The sequence below is a fragment of the Homo sapiens genome, chromosome 14 (assembly GCF_000001405.40).
Source record: "Homo sapiens chromosome 14, GRCh38.p14 Primary Assembly".
Taxonomy (NCBI): Eukaryota; Metazoa; Chordata; class Mammalia; order Primates; family Hominidae; genus Homo; species Homo sapiens.
Genome location: NC_000014.9, coordinates 23684361 through 23707474, shown reverse-complemented (window position 1 = coordinate 23707474; position 23114 = coordinate 23684361). Strand labels below are relative to the sequence as shown.

The 23114-nt window shown below is 43.3% G+C and overlaps 3 long non-coding RNA genes across 11 annotated transcripts in view, besides 1 other annotated feature; 1 reads left to right on the top strand and 2 right to left on the bottom strand.

Moving 5' to 3' along the window:
- Positions 1-7678, top strand: part of LOC105370409 (uncharacterized) — a 29969-nt gene extending 22291 nt beyond the window's left edge. For 4 of the 6 annotated variants that reach the window (XR_007064082.1, XR_001750657.2, XR_007064080.1 and 1 more), the window contains 4 exons: positions 4558-4657; positions 5589-5671; positions 6768-6935; positions 7437-7536. This is a non-coding gene — a long non-coding RNA (uncharacterized LOC105370409). Of the gene's footprint in view, positions 1-4557; positions 4658-5588; positions 5672-6767; positions 6936-7436 lie in introns of all 6 variants that reach the window. The other 2 variants (XR_007064083.1, XR_007064081.1) reach the window with 2 other exon arrangements.
- On the bottom strand, positions 3078-8004 carry LOC105370410 (uncharacterized). Of its 2 annotated transcripts, XR_943617.3 has the most exons (4): positions 7944-8004; positions 5761-5924; positions 5546-5623; positions 3078-3815 (listed from the first exon to the last, which is right to left on the bottom strand). It is a non-coding gene; the product is annotated as an uncharacterized LOC105370410 (long non-coding RNA). The 2 variants fall into 2 exon arrangements; XR_001750658.2 differs by lacking the exon at positions 5546-5623.
- Positions 8005-8540: 536 nt separating this feature from the next.
- On the bottom strand, positions 8541-14744 carry LOC105370408 (uncharacterized). Of its 3 annotated transcripts, XR_943609.2 has the most exons (3): positions 14503-14744; positions 14129-14369; positions 8541-10618 (listed from the first exon to the last, which is right to left on the bottom strand). It is a non-coding gene; the product is annotated as an uncharacterized LOC105370408 (long non-coding RNA). The 3 variants fall into 3 exon arrangements; XR_943608.4 differs by lacking the exon at positions 14503-14744 and having other exon boundaries at positions 14129-14461; XR_943610.3 differs by lacking the exon at positions 14503-14744 and having other exon boundaries at positions 8541-10587; positions 14129-14461.
- Positions 12581-13097: an enhancer, noted in NCBI's record as "H3K27ac hESC enhancer chr14:24163587-24164103 (GRCh37/hg19 assembly coordinates)". NCBI's record gives its function as "activates a minimal SCP1, AML or CMV promoter by ChIP-STARR-seq in primed H9 embryonic stem cells {active_cell/tissue: H9 hESC(primed)}" and the evidence as "EXISTENCE:reporter gene assay evidence [ECO:0000049][PMID:30033119]".
- Positions 14745-23114: the final 8370 nt, after the last annotated feature.

The following is a 23114-nucleotide window of genomic DNA, read 5'->3' as shown; positions in this document are numbered from 1 at the left end:
GGGGAGGATTGAGAAAAGAGCATTCTAATAGGACAGAAACAGGACATGAGAGGGGACAAATAAGGAAATAAAAGCCTGCCACCCCCTAGCCGGCAGCTGCAACCCACTCAGGTCCCCTTCCACACTGTGGAAACTTTGTTCTTTTGCTCTTAACAATAAATCTTGCTGCTGCTCACTCTTTGGGTCCATGCCATCTTTAAGAGCTGTAACACTCACCGCGAAGGTCTGTGACTCCATTCTTGAAGTCAGCCAGACCACGAACCCACCAGAAGGAACCAACTCCTGACACATTTTTCCCTTGTACCTGGGCTAATCACCCAGTATAAGACAGTACCTAGACTAGCCATCTAGTATAAGACCCCTGAGCTCCAAATGGTCTTTTCCAACAGGTGGGATGCCCCTTTAGAAAGTGCACCCTGAGTCTCTCAGCTGACATAAGTGAAACCCTTTTCATTGGTGAAGTGCCCCAAGTGAAAGTACAGTTCAATTAGCCCCCAGCTGTGTGTTTTCCAGTCCCACCATGGGAAAACCCCTGTCAATTCCTTCTGACTCGCCTCTAGGCTCTATTCTAAAGCTCTAGGACAAAGTTGACCCCCAAACCCTCAAAAAGAAATGTCTAATTTTCTTGTGTAACATAGCATGGCCTCTATGCAGAAAATTATCAAATTAGCCTCCTCAGTCTTTATAACCAAGAGCAGAATAAGGAAAACAAGGCTAAGAAAAAAAAATGCAAAGACAAAAGGCAGGCTAAACTGTTGGCTGCTTTACAAGCCCCAGCCCACTCCAGACTACTCTAAAAACACTCCTCCAGGGCCGGGCGCGGTGGCTCACGCCTGTAATCCCAGCACTTTGGGAGGCCGAGGCGGGCGGATCACGAGGTCAGGAGATCGAGACCATCCCAGCTAAAACGGTGAAACCCCGTCTCTACTAAAAATACAAAAAATTAGCCGGGCGTAGTGGCGGGCGCCTGTAGTCCCAGCTACTTGGGAGGCTGAGGCAGGAGAATGGCGTGAACCCGGGAGGCGGAGCTTGCAGTGAGCCGAGATCCCGCCACTGCACTCCAGCCTGGGCGACAGAGCGAGACTCCGTCTCAAAAAAAAAAAAAAAAAAAAACACTCCTCCAAATAACTGCCACTGGTGCAGAGGGCCAGGCCACTAAAAGACAAACTGCCTCAATGAGATTAATGGGGAAAAACCTCACACAGCTTGCCTGCTTGGCTACATGCTTGGCCACTGGAAATGGAACTGCCCTGAAAGCCAAAGGGCCCCCACGAAAGAATCCCAACCCTCAATGGCTTTCAGCTGAATGGGCTCTCATCTTTGAAAACAGCTCACCTTGGCCGGGCGCGGTGGCTCACGCCTGTAATCCCAGCACTTTGGGAGGCCGAGGCGGGTGGATCATGAGGTCAGGAGATCGAGACCATCCTGGCTAACAAGGTGAAACCCCGTCTCTACTAAAAATACAAAAAATTAGCCGGGCGCGGTGGCGGGCGCCTGTAGTCCCAGCTACTCGGGAGGCTGAGGCAGGAGAATGGCGTGAACCCGGGAAGCGGAGCTTGCAGTGAGCCGAGATTGCGCCACTGCAGTCTGCAGTCCGGCCTGCTGGGCGACAGAGCGAGACTCCGTCTCAAAAAAAAAAAAAAAAAAAAAAAAAGAAAACAGCTCACCTTAACTCGTGACTTGCGGAGGTGGGAAGAATTCATCCCACACTTTGCAGTCTAGGGTGCTAAGGCTCTCTCTGATGGAAGAAAAACAAGGGTGGGAGGGGTGCTAGCCCTGAACTACAATGTGCAGTGGCTGGAAGGCTCACAAGCCATCCTATAAAGCTTAACCTTCTCCTCTCCACTCCTCTCTTTTCTTTTTTTCTTTTTTTCCTGTTCAATCCAGGGGTCCAGCATTAAAAAGGAGAAGGCAGATTCTGACATCCTAACCCCTGATTTTGTTGTTCTCTTTAAAACTCTAGCTGGTTACCTATTACAGCCTCTTTTTGTGCACATTTCAAACTGATTGGCAAACTATAACAGGAAAACTCAAAGCTCAAATGGTTAACCTGCACTATAGAGTTAAGTCTTTGAAAGTTTTCTGCCTCTGTTTTTCTACCTGCTTTAAATCTGCTGTTACTAAGCTGCTGGTGCTGAGATAAGACTCATTGTTTATAATCAAACTAAAATGTAAACATTGAAACCTCATTTAAAGTTAAAAAAAGGTAAAGCAGAATTTTTAGTAAGGAAGGTTATAAAAAATTTATAGAAAAACAATCTTCTATAGTAAACTCTAAAATAAAATGACTGGTTGTTTTTTTAAAAAAGTGGTGATTAGAAGAAGTCAGAAAGTCCAAGCATGTCATAAATGGTCTGTGTAAGTCATAAACGATTCATAAAAGGGAATTTATGAAAGAAATTTTGTATTTAATTAAGTTGGTTATAAGTTTTTAAAATTGTAAATGTTTCTTTAAAACAACAACAATAAAAAACCTTCTCAGAATCGTATCTCAAAAGTTCAACTTGCTGTGTCCCACAGCTTCAGCTTTCTTTCCCTGGAAAAGGCCTAAGATAGTAACTTCTTCAGTCTTTGTCAGCTCCTGTTCTGTTATTATAGCCTAATGCTAAAATGTTTCATCTTGAAGGTCAAAATTAAACAGTAGTCTTCTCTGACATAAACTTAATAGTTTAATTTCCAGATTATCTAAACGGGCTTCCAATAAGAAAAAACAATCACACTACAAAAGGTTTTTCTTTGCCTTTTTTGTAACTGGCTTTAAAAAAACACAAAATTTTTCTTCTAGGGTTTTTATGGTTTTAGGTCTAACAGTTAAGTCTTTAATCCATCTTGAATTAATTTTTGTATAAGGTGTAAGGAAGGGATCCAGTTTCAGCTTTCTACATATGGCTGGCCAGTTTTCCCAGCACCGTTTATTAAATAGGGAATCCTTTCCCCATTTCTTGTTTTTGTGAGGTTTGTCAAAGATCAGATGGTTGGAGATGTGTGGTATTATTTCTGAGGGCTCTGTTCTGTTCTGTTCGTCTATATCTCTGTTTTGGTTACTGTAGCCTTGTAGTATAATTTGAAGTCAGGTAGCGTGATGCCTCCAGCTTTGTTCTTTTGGTTTAGGATTGTCTTGGAAATGCAGGCTCTTTTTTGGTTCCATTGGAAGCCCATTTAGCCTGGATGATAGAACAAGACTCCATCAAAAAAAAAAAATCTGTAGTAAAACAGACCAGCAGCAGACCACCAAACAGTGACCATGCTTTTTTTGTGTGCAAGTTTGGCTTTGGAAAGTACTTTGGAACTTCTTCTTGGTCCAGGCACTGAGCTGGTCATCACTTGTTGTCATATAAAATCCACTTTTCATCACACGTCACAATCCAATCGAGAAATGGTTCATGTTGTTGCATAGAATAAGAGAGGATGACACTTCAAAATGAAGTTTTTTGGATTTTTGGTCAGCTCATGAGGCACCCACTTATCTAGCTTTTTCAACTTTCCAATTTGCTTCAAATGCAAAATGACTGTAGAAATGTCAAGGTGAGTTCTTTGGCAACTTCTCGTGTAGTTGTAAGAGGATCAACTTCTATGATAGCTTTCAATTGGTTGTTGTCAACTTCCGATGGCCAGCCACCATACTCCTCATCTTCAAGGCTCTTGTCTCTTTTGCAACACTTCTTGAACTACCACTGCTCTATACGTTTGTTAGCAGTTCCTGGGCGAAATGCACTGTAGATGTTGCAAGTTGTCTCTGCTGCTTTACAACCCATTCTGAACTCAAATAAGAAAATCGCTCAAATTTGCTTTTTGTCTAACATCATTTCCATAGTCTAAAATAAATATAAAATAAACAGCAAGTATTAAGTCATTAGCAAAAAAATAAAATAAAATGAGAAATGTGCATTAAAATGGTGTATAACATAACCACATTTAAGAATGTATTTAAGAATGTATTTCAATATCAAATAGTAACTTTCAACAATGCAAAAATTGCTATTACATTTGCACCATCCGAATACATGAGGTATACATGTTATTAAACTTCTGCTTGTTTTTCTCTTATTAATTTGCCTTTTGTTGCATAAAGTCCCAGCTAAGAAATATGAAGGGTGGAGGAGAAAATTATGTTTCCTCTCCTATACTTGTTATGCACTATGTTTGATAATTTTGCCCATTATCTACTTAGGCATCGTATTTTTCTTATAAATTTGCACAATCTTTTTCTTAAGCTCATTAAATCTCATCTGTCATTTTTTGCTGAATCTCCAAAAATAATATCTAGAAGCAACTCAGGGTCATGAATATTTTGCTTATTGCTTCACCATCACCATAGTGGGAGCTTGCACTCAGAAACTGTGGTATGTAAGAACTCAGGCTCATAGTGCAAATATTAGACTGTACATTTTGTCTCCCCTTTCTGAGGCCCACAATTAATCCTATCTCCTTCCTCCAACTGTCCTTGCTGTCACTTAGTTCCTTCCTACTACAAGTCCTCCCTGTTTGCTATTCAACTCATTAATCCCTATTTTATAGCAGTCTTCCTCATTATAATGTGATTTTTTTCTTTTACAGTGAAGGTCTTGTTTCTATGGCGATACAAGAGAAAGTCTTTGCAGAGTTGTTGCAGCTGGAAGTCTTCACTTACTTTAAGAGCTCATTAAAGCTAGTGGAGGTAAAGGGCAGGTGGAGATCCTGAAAGTGCCTAGCAGAGGTTGAAACTTTATAGCAAAGTTAAGAGTCAGTAGGAGCACACAAAGAATTCCTTTCTTGTCATTGTAATTACCTTACATAGGCATGAAACTTTCCAAACCTATCTAACATCAACTTTACATATTCATAATATTTTTTACGTACAGCCTTAACATTTGGTCTGAGACAACTTTTTAGACAATTTAGACAATTTTTCAAACTACTTTTTTGAGGAAGCAGAGTATTATATGGCAGCTACAGAATGATAAAGGATGACTGGAGAGTTTTCTCTTCAGAAAAAAGAACAAACTTTTCTTCATGTGAAAGGTAAACAGAGAGAGAGAAGTTCAGCAGCATAATTAATAAGATGGTTCTGCAATGTCTAATAACTTCTCCTTTTTGTTTGCCTCTGTACACAATAAAAGTGTTAAAGTATAATTTTCAAAAAAATGTAACATCATGACTCTCATGACTCTCAAGTTTTATTCAACTCAGGAAACCAATAAGATGTTATAACTGATTCAAAGAACATTTGAGAAGCTAGATATTTGTAGAAAATATTAGCATAAGATTGCTGGGTTAGAGACTGGTTAAAGTCCAACAAGAAAACAAACCAGAACCTTTAGGATCATCTGTTGTATTGGACAGAAATTATTCACATCTCAAACAAAAACCAAACATTAACTTTTGCCCAAAGACAATAGACAATAGAAAACTAAGCCCACTACACTGGTAAATGCCCTGTCATCTCTTCTGCCTATTTCCAAGTTTAAGAAAATTTTTCTGACAGAGTAAAAATTGTTTGGTAAGGGAGGAAGGTATAGTTGCCTCTGGAAATAAGGGAGCTAGGAAGGGTTCTTGGAGCCCATACCTCCTTCCTCCTGACCCAGGATGGAAAATGTCTCTTCCAACAGCCTTCCAAACCTGAAATGAACTGCTCCTTACAGAACTGCCAAAAGGAAGAAATAGAAAAGAAAAAAGAAGCAATAGGTCCAAAGTAAGTCCAAAACCCAATAAGGCAAACAACACTGTCTACTCATTAAATACTGAGGCTTGAGAATAATCTTATTTGGCTCCATGTCTCACCTTTTAGACACACTGGGGCAGGGGTTGTCCCCCAAGGCCCTGGGCAACCCAGCCCCAAAATTTATTCTCTCACAGTTCTGGAGGCTGGGAAGTTGAAGATTAAGGTTCCAGCAGAGTCTGTGTCTGGTGAGGACTTTCTCTCTGTGTCTACATTGCTGCAACATCTGGAGGGGACAAATATTGTATCTTCACATGGCAGAAAGAATGGAAGGAAAGAGCTCACTGGTTTTCCTGGGTACATTCCACACTGCAGCTCTCATGGGTTGTAGTCTTGTGCCTTTTAGCTTTCACAGGCTGGCGTTGCATACTTGTGGCTCTACAATCCTGGGGTCTTAAGGATAGCCTCACTCCCACCACTCCACCAGTCTGTGGTGGCCCCACTCCTGTGGCAGTTCTCTGCCTGGGCCCTGAGGCTCTCTGGGGCATCCTTTGAAATCTAGGTGGAGGAATCCATGCCCCCCAGGTCTTGTGCTCTGTGTACCTGCATAGTTAGTACCATGTGGAAACTACCAAGGGTTATTCCTGTGCCTTCTGGAGGGGCAGCCCAACACACCAACACCACTTCAGCCAATCCAGGGCAGCCAAGGGATGCTGCACCAGAATGTGAGGAGCAGAAACTTGAGGCAGCCCTGGACAGAGAGTTTGGAGGTCCCACAAGTTCCCTGGGCTTCTCCAGCACCATGCGCCCTTCCCTTGAAACCATTCTGCCCTCAAGGCTCTAGCACCCTGGCCCTATGATGGGAATGGCAGCCTTGAAGATCTCCAAAATGCCTTCAGTGGCATACTTCCATTGTCTTGATGAATAGCATCTGGCTTCCTTCTCTTCATTCTAATCTCCTTATCAAATGTTCCCTTGAGCACACCATTTGGTGTTCTCTCCTGCATATACCTTTTATTTCCTTACAACCTACCTGGGCTAAGATTTTTCCAACTCTTTAAGTTCTGTTTCCCTTTTAATTATAAATTCCATCTTTAATTCATTTCTCTCTCTTGCATTTTACTCTAAGAAGTCAAGAGAAGCTATGCTGTACCCTCAACACTCTGCCTAGAGATTTCTTCCATGAAATATCCTAGTTCACATCTGCCTCCTGCAAACTACTAGGACATGGACACTGCTCAGCCAAGTTCTGTGCCAATTTGTAACAAGAATGGCCTTTCCTCCTATTTCCAATAAGGTATTCCTCATTTCAATCTAAGACCTCCTCAGAATGGCCTTTACTGTCCATATTCTGTTCACAACATGCGGTTCATGACCTCTTAGATAATCTCTAAGAAGATTGAGGCTCTCTCCACAGCTGCCCTCTTCTGAGTCCTCATCCAAATAGCCCTTTATGGTTCAGCCTCTACCCATTACCCAGTTCCAAAGCTGCTTCCACATTTTTAGGTATTTGTTACGGAAGCATCCCACTTCTTGGAGATAGTGACAAGAGGCAGGGAAATTCTGGGCAGAAGAGGGTGAGTCCATGGCCCACTTCTTGGAGACAGTGACAAGAGGCAGGGAAATTCTGGGCAGAAGAGGGTGAATCCATGGTGAGGGCCCCACCCACAAGCTGAAAAGCCTAATACCACGGCCCAAAGTGAGAAGTTTACATCCTGTTTTCCCACTCAAATGTTGCCTTTTCCAAAACCTCCCATGGCCTGCCCCACCCCCCATCCTATTCCCATAAAATCCCCAGGCCCCATCAGCAGAGGGAGGAGAAGAGGAGAAGCAGCTGGACATCAGAGACTATGGTTGGACATTGGAGAGAAGCAGCTTGACTTCAAAGGGACGGCTTGATGGCATTGCTTCGGAGAGGAGTTCAGCCAGGGACAGCTGGACTCTAGGGGAATATTATCTTCCCACACCATCCACTTTTCAGCTCCCCTTCCCACTGAGAACCACTTTCATTGGCAATAAAATCCCCCACATTTACCATCTCCAATTTGTTTGTGCAACCTTATTCCTCCTGGACACTGAATAAGAACTCGAGTGTCAGTGCAAAAGGCTGTCACACTGACCCTCCACTGAGCCGTTAACACTTAAGCCAACCGCGAATGGCAAAGCTAAAAGAGCACTGACTGTAACACTCTTTCTAGGGCTTCAGGGATAATGGGCACCCCCATAGATGCTGCCGCGAGGCCACATGGAGTTTTGCTCCTGCCGGTGGCCAAAAGCACTCACCCCGGCTCCTGCACCCACTCACCTGTGCTCCCCCTCCTGTGAGGGGTGGAATGCAGTGGGACCAAGCAAGTGGAGTCCACTCTGCTGGCACCAAAGCAGCTGACTATTTCTAGTGCCTATGCACTCCAGTTCCTGCCCACGAAAAGGTCAGGGAAATTTCCTGCTTCATTGGCACCAATTTATGACTTAGTCCATTCCTGCTGCTATCACAAAAGATCTTAGACTGGGTAATTTATAAACAGCAGAAATTTATTATCTCACAGTTCTGGGAGCTGGGAAGCCCACTATCAGGGAGCCAGTGAATTTGGTGTCTGGTAAGGGCTTACTGTCTGTGTCCAAGTTGCTGCGACCTCTGGAGGGGACAAACACAGTGTCCACACATGACAGAAGGGATAGAAGGGAGGAACTCACTACCTCAAACCCTTTTATAAAGGCATTAACCCCATTCATGACAGTGGAATCCTCATGGCCTAATCACCTCCTAAATGTCCTGCCTCATAACACTGTTGCACTGGGGACTAAGTTTTGACATGAATTCTTGAGGCATGCAAATATTCAAAGCACAGCAACAGCCTTCACTTATGGTGTTGTGGGAAACTGAGGACCAGAGAGACTGATATGAGAGTATAGGAGGATTGTTTATTTTAGGTACACACTGGCTCAGCGGACTCACATCCACAAAGCTGAGCATTAAACAAAGACAGAATCGGGTTTTTATAAGTGGACTTACAATAAATAAAACAAAAGCAGTTAACCAAATGATAGGTCATATAATCTATAGCATAGCATAACTTGTGGCCTTGCATAGGTGGTGGCCTTGTAGCTGCATTGAAAGAAAAACAACAACCGGCTAAATACAGACATTTGTAAAACATAATCATGCTTAAGAAGACTGGGAAAGGAGTAACAGTAAAAGAATTTGTCTTTCTTTTTTTTCCTTCAACCTTGCTCTGGTGTTGGGGGGTATCTGGAGTCCATTCCTTTGGCCTTGGTTTCTCAAACAGTATTATCTTATTACTGTCCTTGAAGTGAGCTTGCTGCACTTTCCTCTGCTAGGCAGAGGAAAACTTGTTCTTTTCTTTTTAACCCTTGCCTTTTCTGTTACTTTTCTTGGAGTGAATGAATGCATATTTATTTTTAAATTTCTGCCTCAGTTTCCCCCCTTTGATGCCTTTTATAAAAGAAGTTTAATAGAAGGCATCACTATTACTTAGTTCTGCCTGAAGGGACGAGTTTTCTTATTTAGACAAAGGTTGATATTTATGCAGAGCCATTAGCTGAGTGGTAGTTTGCCTAGCTACTATTGCCTCTATACTCGATTGAATGCTTCTAACAAGGAGAGGTAAGAGACAAGGGAGTATTAGGCAACTTCCTAATATGGCCAGAACCACTCCTATTAAAGTCTTGAACCCTCAGAAAAATAAAAACCAAGCCTCCAAAGAGAGAATCTGGAGACCACCCTTTCCAAGTTTGAACTGGAACATGGGCTAATTTTCTCATTCTTGCAGTTATTTCCATAATTGCCTTTCCATTGTCATCGATTTCCAGGCAGCAATTTGTTAAATTGAACTTTCCACATACTACTCCTTCTAGGGCTAGGAGATAGTCTAAAGCTAATCTGTTCTGATAGATAGCGTTCCTCATTTTTGTGCCTTGCTGGGCCAGACGGGTCTGGGTTCCCTTTTTGATAACATATATGAAGGTTGCTGGGTATGTGTGTATGTAGACATGTAAGGAGGAACCTGCAGTCCACCAGCATTTTGGTAAGCATAATTGACCTTTGTTGTGGCTAGGGTGCCATGATATGCAATACCAACAATCTTTCTCTGGGGTCCCAGGGGAACAATGTGGAGTTGCTCTTGGCGTGCATACATATTTGTAGTTATTTCTATAGTATCTTTCCAAAGGTAGGTTACCACAGATGGGTGAGTCTTGGTATGCTACCTAACGAGCATCAAAATACAGAGAAATAGTCCCTCAGTAAAAGGGAGGGACCCTGGTTTGGTTTAAGAGGAGACCTTCTTTTGACTGCACGAATTTCAAACCATTCACCAGGTGAAAACTTGGGGTCATAACATACATAAAGTTGGTTATTTCCTGGGTCACAAACTGAGTAGGTGGTTTGACTATAAGTACAAGTTCCTAAGCGATTCCCCATACACCCATAATAAGTATGGTACAATAGAGTTTTAGTTATGCTGTTCCCTGACCAAGTAGTATGTGTACGGTGGAGACACCCTTCTGTGGGTGATTCTTCTAGCATGGTTAAGGGGGGTAACAACAGCAAAGCAATGTACAGCATATTCATATCCAGCAAGGACAAAAGAGGTCCTTACCTGGGGAAGAAGATTGAGCACAGCGACGGAACAATAGTAAAACAGTATTACAGGAAAACTACTAGTCCTAAGATTTCTAACTACATTTACTTGCTTGACAAGTCCTCAAGCTTCAGCTGTGCATAGACTAGTCAGCTTCTGGTGTGTGACTAGAGCAGAGCTTGTTGTTTCCTCAAGCTTCACCCGTGTGTAGACTGGTCAGCCTCTGGAGTGACCAGAGCAGGGCTGTTGTACTCAGCAGCAACTCAGTCTTGTCACAAGATCAGCCGAGTCAAATGGTCTGGGTCCTGCTGGCTGGTTCACTTGTCCTGAGCTGCCGGTTTCAGCCAACTGTGGTGGATCCAAGACACAACAGCTGCAACTTTAACAGCAGTGGGAAAGGACAAGATTACTGTATGGGGCCCATCCCACATGAGTCTTAGAGAAGTTGGGTTCTACTTTTTAACCTAGAGTTACCAGGTTTAAAGGGGTATCAGGTTTTTAGGCATTTTTTTCATGTACCTAATTATGAACACTTTGCATGGCTATTTCTGCATTTGTTTTCTTAAAGTTAATTCCCCTAGTTCCTGGAGATCATCTTTAATTTGACTTATGATTTGGGGGTGGCCCACCGAACAAAATCTCATAGGGTAAATACCCAGTTTGTTTGGTGGGGGTGCACCTGACTCAGAGGAGGACCATAGGCAAAACCTGATCCTATCTCAGATGAATTTCCTGGCAATATTTCTTCAGTAGCTGCTTGAGTGTCCGGTTCGTGGTTCCACTTTTCCTGAACTTTGTGGCCGATAGGCTGTGTGTAACTTCCATTTTATTTTTAACAGTCTTGTTAAATCTTGCACTATTTCAGCTACAAATGCTGACCCATTGTCTGACTTTAAAGTTAGAGGCAGTCCAAACCCGGGGATAATGTCTCTTAACAGTACTTTAGTCACTTCTCGTGCTTTTTCTGTCCTAGTGGGGAAAGCCTCACTCCATCATGAAAAAGGTGCAAATAAACACTAGCATATACTGCCAGCCTCCAGCATGGGGCATTTCGGTAAAGTCTATAAGCAAGTTTTTCACAAGGCATGAAGGCATGGCTCCTTCTCAGTTCAGTGTCCCAGAGGAAGGATACTTTTTCTTCCCCCGACCCAACCTTTGTAACTTTATATAGTGGCTTAGCCATCAGTGAGAAATTTGGGATCCAGATGTGGCAGAATCCTGCTGCCTTCAACTTCTAATGTGACCACGGGATCCTGGAGGCTTAATGAAAAGGAGCCTGGTCTGTCCTAGTCCTCATACCCTTCAGCTCTTGCCAGCCCAATCAGATCAGTATCTGGTTCCTCTAACGTGCGGCAGCCCTTGGCCAATGACTTCTTTATATCACAGCATTTACCACTCTCTTTATTACCTTCTGGACATTCATCCTTCCCGTGTCCTTTCTTTTTGCATCCCGCACATTAATCTCTTTCTAGCCTTGTCTGGCTCTTGAATCTCTGCCTAACTTGACCGCTTCCACATCCACATTTGCGTCCACGTCCTCTCACATTGCTAATCTCTCTATAAAGACTGCTGCCAACAGATTGGCCTTTTTCTTAAGCCTTCAATCTGCTTCCTTTTTCCTTCCTGAGTTCTCCTGTTCCTAAGGCCAGCGGGCCAGGCAATGACACCGGCCCCGCCCCCACGCACACACTGCCGTAGGTCTCTCCTGTTTCTTTCGGATTTCTGTTTTTACTTTCTTCTTTCCCTTCTCACATTTACTCTTTTGGGCTGGGTGGGGTCTGCACAACCGTAGTCCCCCTGGGCCATCATTGGCCCAGAGGCTTGGGAGATGCCTGCCGCAAAATGTCAGAATTATGCCCTTCCATCTCCTTTGCTCTTCTCCCGGTGCTGGTCCCCCCCTCCCCCCTCTTTTTCCAGATAGAGCCGGGCTGGGGAAAGGGGCTTAACCCTTGGCGTGCCTAGCTGCCTGGCACCACACTTGTTGCTTTTGCTCTTTTCTGTTTTGTTCTCTGGTCCTGATTAACGTACACTGAGTGGCATTCATGCCTGCAGCTTCTGCTTGATGTTACCCTGGGCTTGCCCTTCCAATGCTGTGTTTACCATGTGCTGATTTTCAGCAGCCTCAGGGTGAAATGGGGTGTAAAACCAGAATACTTCACAAAGTCTCTGTAATACTTCACAAAGCCACTGACTTAGGCTCTCATCACCTCCCTGAAGCACTTTTGAAATCTTCCCTATATTAATTGCTTTCTATCAGCTCTTATCCCTTGCAAAAGCGACCTTTTGGTACCTCTGCAAACGCTGAAGTTGTGTTGCATCCACCAGGTCCCAGTTGGGATCTTGGTCTGGGAACTGACTCTGAGCACGTACCTGAGCATTCACTGCATCTTCTGGTGCATTGGCTTCTAGCCAGCAGAGAGCTGCCTATGTTACTCTCCTGCACTCCTCAGTGTTAAATAATGTGAGGAGGAGCTGCCTGCAGTCTGGCCCGGTTGGATTGCATGTCAGAAAGATGGATTGCATCAGATCTGTAAGAGCTTGGGGCTTCTCCGTGTAGGAGGGAATGTGGCATTTCCAGTTTAAAAGATCAGTGGTTGAAAAGGGCTGGTAGATGAAAGTTCATTGCCCCCTTGAACCTGGCCTTGATCATAATAATAGATGGGTCCTCGCACCTCCCTGAGAGGCATTTGCATAGCTCAAGCACAGCCAGATCTGAGACTGCCTGCTTGACTATCTTGACTTCCTTCCCTGGCCTCTCGAGGCTCCGATTCTGCCCTTTGGGGTGAAACTTGGGGTGTGTTAGCTCCTGAATCTGGTTCCTGGGGGGCTGTTAGCCTTGGCAAAGGGGGGTAGGCTGGGACGAATCTCTGTTCCCTCTGGCAGCTCCTGCAAAACTGGCTTCTCTTGCTCTCTCTGGAACTTCCCCTTTAACTCTGTGTCTGCCAGTGAAGCTGCTAAATAGGGCTGGATCCAGGCTGCTCTTGTCTGTGCTATATTTAACCATGAATCAATTTAAGGAAATTTGTCTGGGTACCCTGGCTGTCCTCCAAGCCCTGTCACCACCTTAAATGCACAGCCAATTATCCCTATCTATAGTTCTTTCAGTCAGCCACCCAACACCAAAAGAAGGCCACTCTAATTCACAGAGAGTTCTCAATCTTTGGGGGTTTAGCTTAAGTCCATAATCCCTTGCAAAATCTTTCTTAAGGTTCTGTAACATGTACTCCAATGGAGTAACTTTTGATGACTTTCCTCCCATTCCTCCCTTTACGACACAGCACAATCACTCTTGCACACTCACTGTTCCTCTCATTTCGGCCGAATATACCATCTCCTATTATGGGAGTTTTCAGATGCTGCTTGGCTTTGCAGAGGTCCTTATTCTCACTGCAACTCTGAGCTATGGGGCAGCTCCTATTAGCCATATGCAGATCACCACTAGTCTTAGTTGGCCCCACACGTTCTTGGAGGATACAGTCCATGCTAAGAGATCTGTGACTCCCCACTTCACAGCTGATGAGCCTAATTAGGCCCCTCCATTCACACACTTCCACACACTTCCCCACTCCCAGTTCCCGTGTTTGTAATTGGGGTGGCAAGCCACTCTCACCCCCTCTACTTTCCCAGTTGGGGTGGTGAGCCACTCTTGCCACCTCCAGTTTCCTAGTTGGGGTGGCGAGCCACTCTTACCATCTCCAGTTTCCTAGCTGACTTAGCGAGCCACTCTCGCATCCTGTGTCGACTGGGGTGTGAGATTCATCCGAATTGATGAGCTACTCCTGTTGCCCCCAGCCCCTCTGGGTCGAACTATTCGGCACATCCCAGGAGGTGATTAGGCTCCCCTTCCATCCCCATGGGACAGGTCCTGCCTTGGGCCCTAAAACCTTACCGCAGTTCCTGAAGGGTGCTGTTTCTGAAATTGTCCTGTAGCTCCTTTCAGGTTCCATTGCACTGCTGGGTAGGGGCGCCGGGTCAGGGGAGAGCTGATTTCCTCTCCGGGCTGAAGTTCTTCCAGTGGTACCTGGGGTCACAGGTCTCCTGAGGCCCAGGGCTCCAGCGCCCAGAGCCAAAGGAAACAGTAAACCTGCTGTCTCTGGTCCTTTTGTGGTCACCAAAAATGTTGCAGGAAACTGAGGACCAGAGAGACTGATATGAGAGTACAGAAGGATTGTTCATTGTAGGTACACGCCAGCTCAGTGGACTCACATCCAAAAAGCTGAGCATTAAACAAAGACAGAGACAGGTTTTTATAAGCAGACTTACAATAAATAAACCCAAACGTTTATCAAATATGATAGGTCACATAATCTATAGCATAGCATAACTTGTGGCCTTGCATAGCTGGTGGCCTTGTAGCTGCATTGAAAGAAAAACAACAAGTGGCTAAATACAGACATTTGTAAAACATAATCATGCTTAAGAAGCCTGGGAAAGGAGTAACAGTAAAAGAATTTGTCTTTCTTTTTTTTTCCTTCAACCTTGCTCTGGAGCTGGGGGGTGTCTGGGGTCCATTCCTTTGGCCTTGGCTTCTCAAACAGTATTATCTTATAACTGTCCTTGAAGTGAGCTTGCTGCACTTTCCTCTGCTAGGCAGAGGAAAACCTGTTTTTTTCTTTTTAACCCTTGCCTTGCCTGTTACTTTCAGAGTGAATGAATGCATATTTATTTTTAAATTTCTGCCTCAATAGGAGGGGGTGGGGAAAGAAGAGAACTCCTCACAGTCAGATTTATAAGGCAGTGGGAGAGGCCAGATAATTATTTCTGTCTCCTCTACAAAGAGGGAGAGCGAGGTGGAAAAGGAGCAGGCTTAAGAAGACTGTCCTGGGCTGAATTGTGTCTATCTGCCAAAGCCTAACCCCTGCCACCAATTCATACATTGGAGTCCTAACCCCAAGTACCTCAGAATGTGACGTATTTGGAGGTGGGGTCTTTAAAGAGGTAATGATCGTTAAATGAGGACATTGAGGTGGGCCCTAATCTAATATAACCAATGCCCTTATAAGAAGAAGAGATTAGGATGTAGACACACATGAGGAAAAACCATGTGAAGACAAAGGGAGAAGATGGCCATCTAGAAGCCAAAGAGAGAGGCCTGAGAAGAAATCAACCCTGAAAACACCCTGATTCTGAACTTCTATCTTCCAGAACTGTGAGAAAATAAATGTATGTTGTTTAAGCTACTCAGATTATGGTGCTGTGTTATGGTAACCTGCTATGGTTTGAATGTGTCTCCTAAACTTTATTTGTTGGAACCTAAATCCCCAAATTCATATGTTTATGGCATTTGGAGGTGAGGCATTGAGAGAAAATTAGGATGAGATAAAGTCATCAAGTTATGCCTCCATTATGGGACTGGTGGCTTTATAAAGAGAAGAAAAAAGACCTGAGCTGACATACTGTTGCCCCCCTGACAGGTAATCCCCTCTATCTTTTTATGATGCAATAAGAAGGCCCTCGCCAGATGTGGCCCCTCAAGCGTGGACTTCCCAGCCTCCAGAACTGGAAGAAATAAATTTCTTTTTAAAATAAATTACTAGTCTGTGGTATTCTGTTAATAGCAATAGAAAATGGATTAAGACAGAGCTTTAGTTGGGCCAGGCATGGTGGCTCACCCCTGTAATCCCAGCACTTCGGGAGGCCAAGGTGGGCGGATCATGAGGTCAAGAGATTGAGACCATCCTGGCCAACACGGTAAAACCCCGTCTCTACTAAAAATACAAAAAAAATTAGCTGGGTGTGGTGGTGCATGCCTGTAGTCTCAGTTACTTGGGAGGCTGAGGCAGGAGAATGGCTTGAACCTGGGAGGCAGAGGTTGCAGTGAGCTGAGATCTCATGACTGCACTCCAGCCTGGTGACACAGTAAGACTCTGTCTCAAAAAAAAAAAAAAAGACAGAGCTTTAGCAAACTAATACAACTGGTGGTTTAAATATGTGTTGATGGGGAAGGGAAGTGGTCCTGAGTAAGATCATGTGGAAAAGGTGACGAGTGATATCAAAAGTCAATTTACATTAAAAGCCAAATTTGTTAAGTGAATTTCTACAACTTTCCACAACTTAGCTATGGAAGAAAGGACATTTGGATTGATCAGGCACAAATATTCTCCCAACAGTGTACAGTGAAAAAGAAGTGAGGAAAGCAATTAAAGAACTTACAAGACAGTAACTGAAGGGATATATTGTGCAGTCTAGGCTATATAAAGAAGGAAATAAAATGAGAGAGGGATTTACAGATTAGGACAATACAGAGAGGTCAGGGAACAAGAATTCTCTGTAATGTTGAAGAGCTGATGTAAAAGGAAATAGAGCAGAAACCAGTGGAAAAGCAAGAATTCGTGGCCAGAGAGTAGGATGTATACATTTAATATTTCAAGATAGAAGGGACCTGGGTGATGACAAGTCTAAGTCACCAACACAATTGGAAGTGGCTGAAGTGAAGTTGAGCTGAAGCTCACTGGAACTGAGGATGTCAAAAAATCATAAGGCTAAATATTAAATTAGTTGAACAAACAATTTACCCAGGATGAAGATAACACTTCAGGTAGGGATTCCATTTCAAGATGGCTGAATAGGAACAGCTACAGTCTGCAGCTCCCAGTGTGATTGACACAGAAGATAGGTGATTTCTAAATTTCCAACTGAGGTACCTGGTTCATCTCATTGGGACTGGTTGGACAGTGGGTGCAGCCCACAAAAGGCAAGCCAAAATAGGGCAGGGCATCACCTTACCCGGGAGCACAAGAGGTTGGGGTATTTCTGTTTCCTAGCCAAGGGAAGCTGTGATAGACTGTACTTGGAAAATCAGGATACTCCTGCCCAAATACTGCACTTTTCCAATGGTCATAGCAAATGGCACACCAGGAGATTATATCCTGCGCATGGCTTGGCAGTTCCCATGCCCATGGAGCCTTGTTCACTGCTAGTGCAGCAGTCTGAGATTGACCTGCAAGGCAGCAGCCTGGAAGGGGGAGGGGTGTTTGCCATTGCTGAGGCTTGAGTAGGTAAACAAAACAGACAAGGAAGCTCAAACTGGCCAGAACCCACCGCAGCCCAGCAAGGCCTGTTGCCTCTGTAGATTCCACCTCTGGGGGCAGGGCATAGCTGAACAAAAGGCAGCAGAAACTTCTGCAGACTTAAATGTCCCTGTCTGACAGCTCTGAAGAGAGCAGTGGTTCTCCCAGCACTGTGTTTGAGCTCTGAGAATGGACAGACTGCCTCCTCCAGTGGGTCCCTGACCCCTGTGTAGCCTAACTGGAAGACATCTCCCAGTAGGGGCTGAATGACACCTCATATAGGCAGATGCCCCTCTGGGATGAAGCTTCAAGAGGAAGGATCAGGCAGCAATATTTGCTGTTCTGCAATATTTGCTGTTCTGCAATATTTGCTGTTCTGCAGCCTCCACTGGTGATACCCAGGAAAACAAGGTCTGGAGTGGACTTTCAGCAAACTCCAACAGACCTGCAGCTGAGGGACCTGACTGTTGAAAGGAAAACTAACAAACAGAAAGGAACAGCATTAACATCAACAAAAAGGACATCCACACCAAAACTCCATCTGTAGGTCACCAACATCAAAGACCAAAGGTGGATATGGACAGAGGAAGGGGAACATCACACACCGGGGCCTGTTGTGGGGTGGGGAGAGGGGGGAGGGATAGCATTAGGAGATATACCTAATGTTAAATGACTAGTTAATGGGTGCAGCACACCAACATGGCACATGTTTATATATGTAACAAACCTGCACGTTGTGCACATGTACCCTAAAACTTAAAGTATAATTTAAAAAAAAAAAACCACAAAGATGGGAAGAAACCAGAGCAGAAAAGCTCAAAATTCTAAAAACCAGAGCAACACTTCTCCTCCAAAGGATCACAGGTCCTCTCCAGCAAAGGAACAAAGCTGGATGGAGGATGACTTTGATGAGCTGACAGAACTGGGCTTCAGAAAGTCGGTATTAACAAATTTCTCCAAGCTAAAGGAGGATGTTTGAACCCATCCCAAGGAAGCTAAAAACCTTGAAAAAAAATTAGACGAATAGCTAACTAGAAGAAACGGTGAAGACAAGACCTTAAATGACCTGATGGAGCTGAAAACCAATGCATGAGAACTACATGACGCATGCATAAGCTTCAATAGCTGATGCGATCAAGTTGAAGAAAGAGTATCAGTGATTGAAGTTCAAATTAATGAAATAAAGCAAGAAGAAAAGAGTAAAAAGAAATGAACAAAGCCTGCAAGAAATATGGGACCATGTGAAAAGATCAAATCTACATTTGATTGGTGTTCCTGAAAGTGACGGGGAGAATGGAACCAAGTTGGAAAACACTCTTCAGGATATTATCCAGGAGAACTTCCCAACCTAGCAAGGCAGGCCAACATTCAAGTTCAGGAAATACAGAGAACACCGCAAAGATGCTCCTCAAGAAAAGCAATCCCAAGACACATAATTGTCAGATTCACCAAGGTTAAAATGAAGGAAAAAATGTTAAGCGCAGCAAGAGAGAAAGGTCAGGTTAACCACAAAGGGAAGCCCACCAGATTAACAGTAGATCTCTTGGCAGAAACTCTACAAGCCAGAAGACAGTGGAGGCCAATATTCAACATTCTTAAAGAAAAGAATTTTCAACCCAGAATTTCATATCCAGTCAAACTGAGCTTCATAAGTGAAGGAGAAATAAAATCCTTTACAGACAAGCAAATGCTGAGAGATTTTGTCACCACCAGGCCTGCCTTACAAGAGCTCCTGAAGGAAGCACTAAATGTAGAAAGGAACAACAGGTACAAGCCATGGCAAAAACATGCCAAATTGTAAAGGTCATCTATGCTAGGAAGAAACAGCATCAACTAACGGGCAAAATAAACAGCTAACATCATAATGAGAAGATCAAATTCACACATAACAATATTAACCTTAAATATAAGTGGGCTAAATGCCCCAATTAAAAGACACAGACTGGCAAATTGGATAAAGAGTCAAGACCCATCAATGTGCTGTATTCAGGAGATCCATCTCACATGCAGAGACACACATAGGCTCAAAATAAAGGGACAGAGGAAGATCTACCAAGCAAATGGAAAAAAAAAAGCAGGAGTTGCAATCCTAGTCTCTGATAAAACAGACTTTAAACCAACAAAGATCAAAAAAGACAAAGAAGACCATTACATAATGGTAAAGGGATCAATTCCCTTTACCATTCCAACAAGAAGAGCTAACTATCCTATATATATATGCACCCAATACAGGAGGACCCAGATTCATAAAGCAAGTCCTTACAGACCTATAAAGAGACTTAGACTCCCACACAATAACAATGGGAGAGTTTAACACCCCACTGTCAATATCAGCCAGATCAACGAGACAGAAGGTTAACAAGGATATCCAGGAATTGAACTGAGCTCTGCACCAAGAAGAACTAATAGACATCTACAGAACTTTCCACCCCAAATCAACAGAATATACATTCTTCTCAGCACCACACCACACTTATTCCAAAATTGACCACACACTTGGAAGTAAAGCACTCCTCAGCAAATGTAAAAGAATAGAAATCAAAACAAACTGTCTCTCAGACCACATTGCAATCAAATTAGAACTCAGGATTAAGAAACTCACTCAAAACTGCACAACTATATGGAAACTGAACAACCTGCTCCTGAATGACTACTGGGTACATAACGAAATGAAGGCAGAAATAAAGATGTTTTTGAAACCAATGAGAACAAAGACACAATGTACCAGAATCTGTGGGACGCATTTAAAGCAGTGTGCAGAGGGAAATTTATAGCACTAAATGCCCACAAGAGAAAGCAGGAAAGATCTAAAATTGACACCCTAACAGCACTGAGAGGCTGAGGCACGAGAATTGCTTAAACCCAGGAGGCAGAGGTGAACCAAGATTGCACCACTGCACTCCAGCCTGGGCAACAGAGTGAGACTCAGTCTCAAAAAAAAAAAAAAAAAGAAAAAGAAAAAAAGAAAAGAAAAGAAAAGAAAAGAAATAAAACATTACAAATTGAATAGAACCTCCACTTTGCGCTTCTTCCAGATCCATTCTCCTCTCTCTGCCCTCCCCAGAGGTGGCTGCTGTTCAGAAGTTGTATATATCCTTCTTGTTCATGTTTTGTACATTTTACTACATATGCATTCATAAATCATATGTATTGTCTTATTTGTTTTTAAACTTTACCAAAGGTGGTGTTATCACATTGTACTTATCATTATGCAACTTACTGATTTTTAGCAACCTTGTTTTTGGAACTGAACCACAACATACGCATCTCTAGTTCATTCACTTGCACCAGCATAGAATATTCTCATTGTGTGACTAAACACAATCTACTTACCTACTTTCCTGTTGACGGTCATTTAGGTTGTTTTAATTTTTATCTATTACACATAACGCTGCCATAAGTATCCTGTGCATATCTCCTTGCACCACACATGTGTGAGCTTTTCCCAGAGTTTATATCTGGGAGGAAGAAGCTGGGTCAAAGATCACATGCATCTTGATTTTTACTGTATATTACCAAATTTGTTTTCCAAAGCCATTGTAGCAACTTACACTTGTATGAAAGCTCCTATTCCTCCATATCATTCCTAATGCTGGTGCTTTCAGACATTTTCATCTGTGTCATTCTGGTAGATGTTAAAGAGCATCTTGTCTTGCTTTGCATTTTCTTGATTAGCAGTGAGGTTGATCCTCTTTTCCTGCTGGGTCATTCAGGGTTCCTCCTCTGTAAATTGCCTGTTCGTTCTCTGTCCATTTCTTATTGGGTTGCTTGCTTGTTTCTTATTTGTTTTTAAGGTATTTGCATATTCTGAACCTACTCCTGTTTTGGTAGGCTTTGCTCATTTTACTTCTACTTTTTGCGGTCATCTTAAGACCTCCAGGTTACCTACCATTCCTCATTCCTTGAAGATTTTAGCACCTGGGTCATTGTCTCTTTCTAGGACCAGATCTGTCTCAATTATTAGTGACTTCAACATTCATAAGCATGATCTTCTTAGTTCTTTGACCCCTTCATTCCCGGTGATCCTATCCTCACCCTCCTCCAAGCCACCAACTTCCACAGTCATGCGTGAGACCTTGCCATTACCAACAACAGCATTCTCCCCATTACCTTGAAAGAAGCATCTCACTCTTTCACTATGGCTTCTCATCTTTCAGCATCCTCCCTCCAATAGCCCAGTTTCAAAATTCTTCAAACCTAATGGAACCTGCTCGCTCTCCACTGACCTGTCACTTTGCACATCCGTCACCCCATTCGTGTCCTCACCTTCTATATAACTGAGCTTAATTCCACCTTCCATCATGAGAGTCTCTTATCTGTATGTGTAGTTGTTCCCTTGCTCTTCTCTTCCTCTCTTGGACTTTTCCAGGAAAAAAAAACCCAAAACTGGAGAAACGTAGCTCTCTGTTTACTCTCTAATAGCACACAAGCAAATGATATTGACTAGGGAAAAACACACAAGCATGGTGAAGGGTCTTTCTTTAAATTCATGACCACTGACCTTAGGAAGGTCTTTAGTGCTGCCCTTCAATCTTGCTTCACTTCCCTGGTCAATTCACTCTCTTATACTCTTACAGACAATTATCTTATAACTTCTCTTTTCTCAAACTTCCAACACCTTCTACTTCCTCACTTAGCTGATGGCCTTGTTTCTTATTGCACTGAGATTGTAGAAGCAATCTAAAAAGTATTACCAATCCCTTAAACAGTATTACCAATCCCTTACATAGGTTCCAAATTCTCTGCTTTTCTTTCTAGTACAGTGGATAAACTGTCAGTGCTCCTGTGTAAAACCAACCTTCCATTTTTTTCCCTGGGTCCCATCCTTTCTCACACCTCCTCAAGGTTATTGTTCTTTACTGGATCATTCCCATCAGCATGAAAACACTCTGTATATTTTCTATATTTAAAAACCACAATCCCTTAATATATGATGCCCTCAAGTACCATCCCATTTTTCTCCCTCATTCTACAGAAAAACTCTTCAAAAAGATTATCTGTGTGCACGCTCTCCACTTACTCTTCTCCTGTTCTTTGTTGCACCTACTCCAAACAGCCTTTCATCACCACTGCCCTGAAACTATCATTGAGGTCACAGATAATCTGTGCTTTGCTAAATCCAATGATAAATGCTCAATCTTCACCCTACCCAGCCTCTCAGCAGCATTTGACATATTCGCTTGCTCCTTCTTGACACACCTCCTTCTCTTTGGTTCTCTTCAAATCTCACTGAATGCTTCTTCTCAGTCTCATTCACTGGTTCCTTCACTTTCCTCCCAACTCTAAAATTGGAGTATCCCAAGGCCCAGTCCTCAGACCCTTCCTCTGTAAATACTAACCCACTAGGTGATGTCTTCCAGCCCTATGGTTTTAGATACCATTTATTAGACCGACCACTCTCAAATTGCTATCTCAAGCTCCACCCTCTTTCCTGAACTCCAGACTCATATACTGTTCAGCTGCCTACTTGATGTCTGATAAGTGTCTCTAACTTAACGTGTTTAAAACCAAGCTCTTAATGCTCTACGGCAAGCCTGTTCCTCCCATAGAGTTCACCATCTTATTAAAAGTTACCATTGTTAGCCCAGTTGCTTAAGCCTCAGAGTCGCCACACCTTGGCTTCTCCTCTTCTCTCACATCCCACGTCAGCAAATTATATCTTCTCTACCTTCAAAGTATATCAGAACACTTGATTAACATCCACTTCTTACCACCTCTACCCCTGTCACCTCATCCCTTACCTGGGCTATTGAAATAGCCTTCTAACACAACTCCCTGCCCCTTCACCCTTGCACCTTTCCAATCTACTTTCCGCACAGTAGCTAGAGTAATCCTATAAACTGCACTCATATCCTGTCGCTCCTT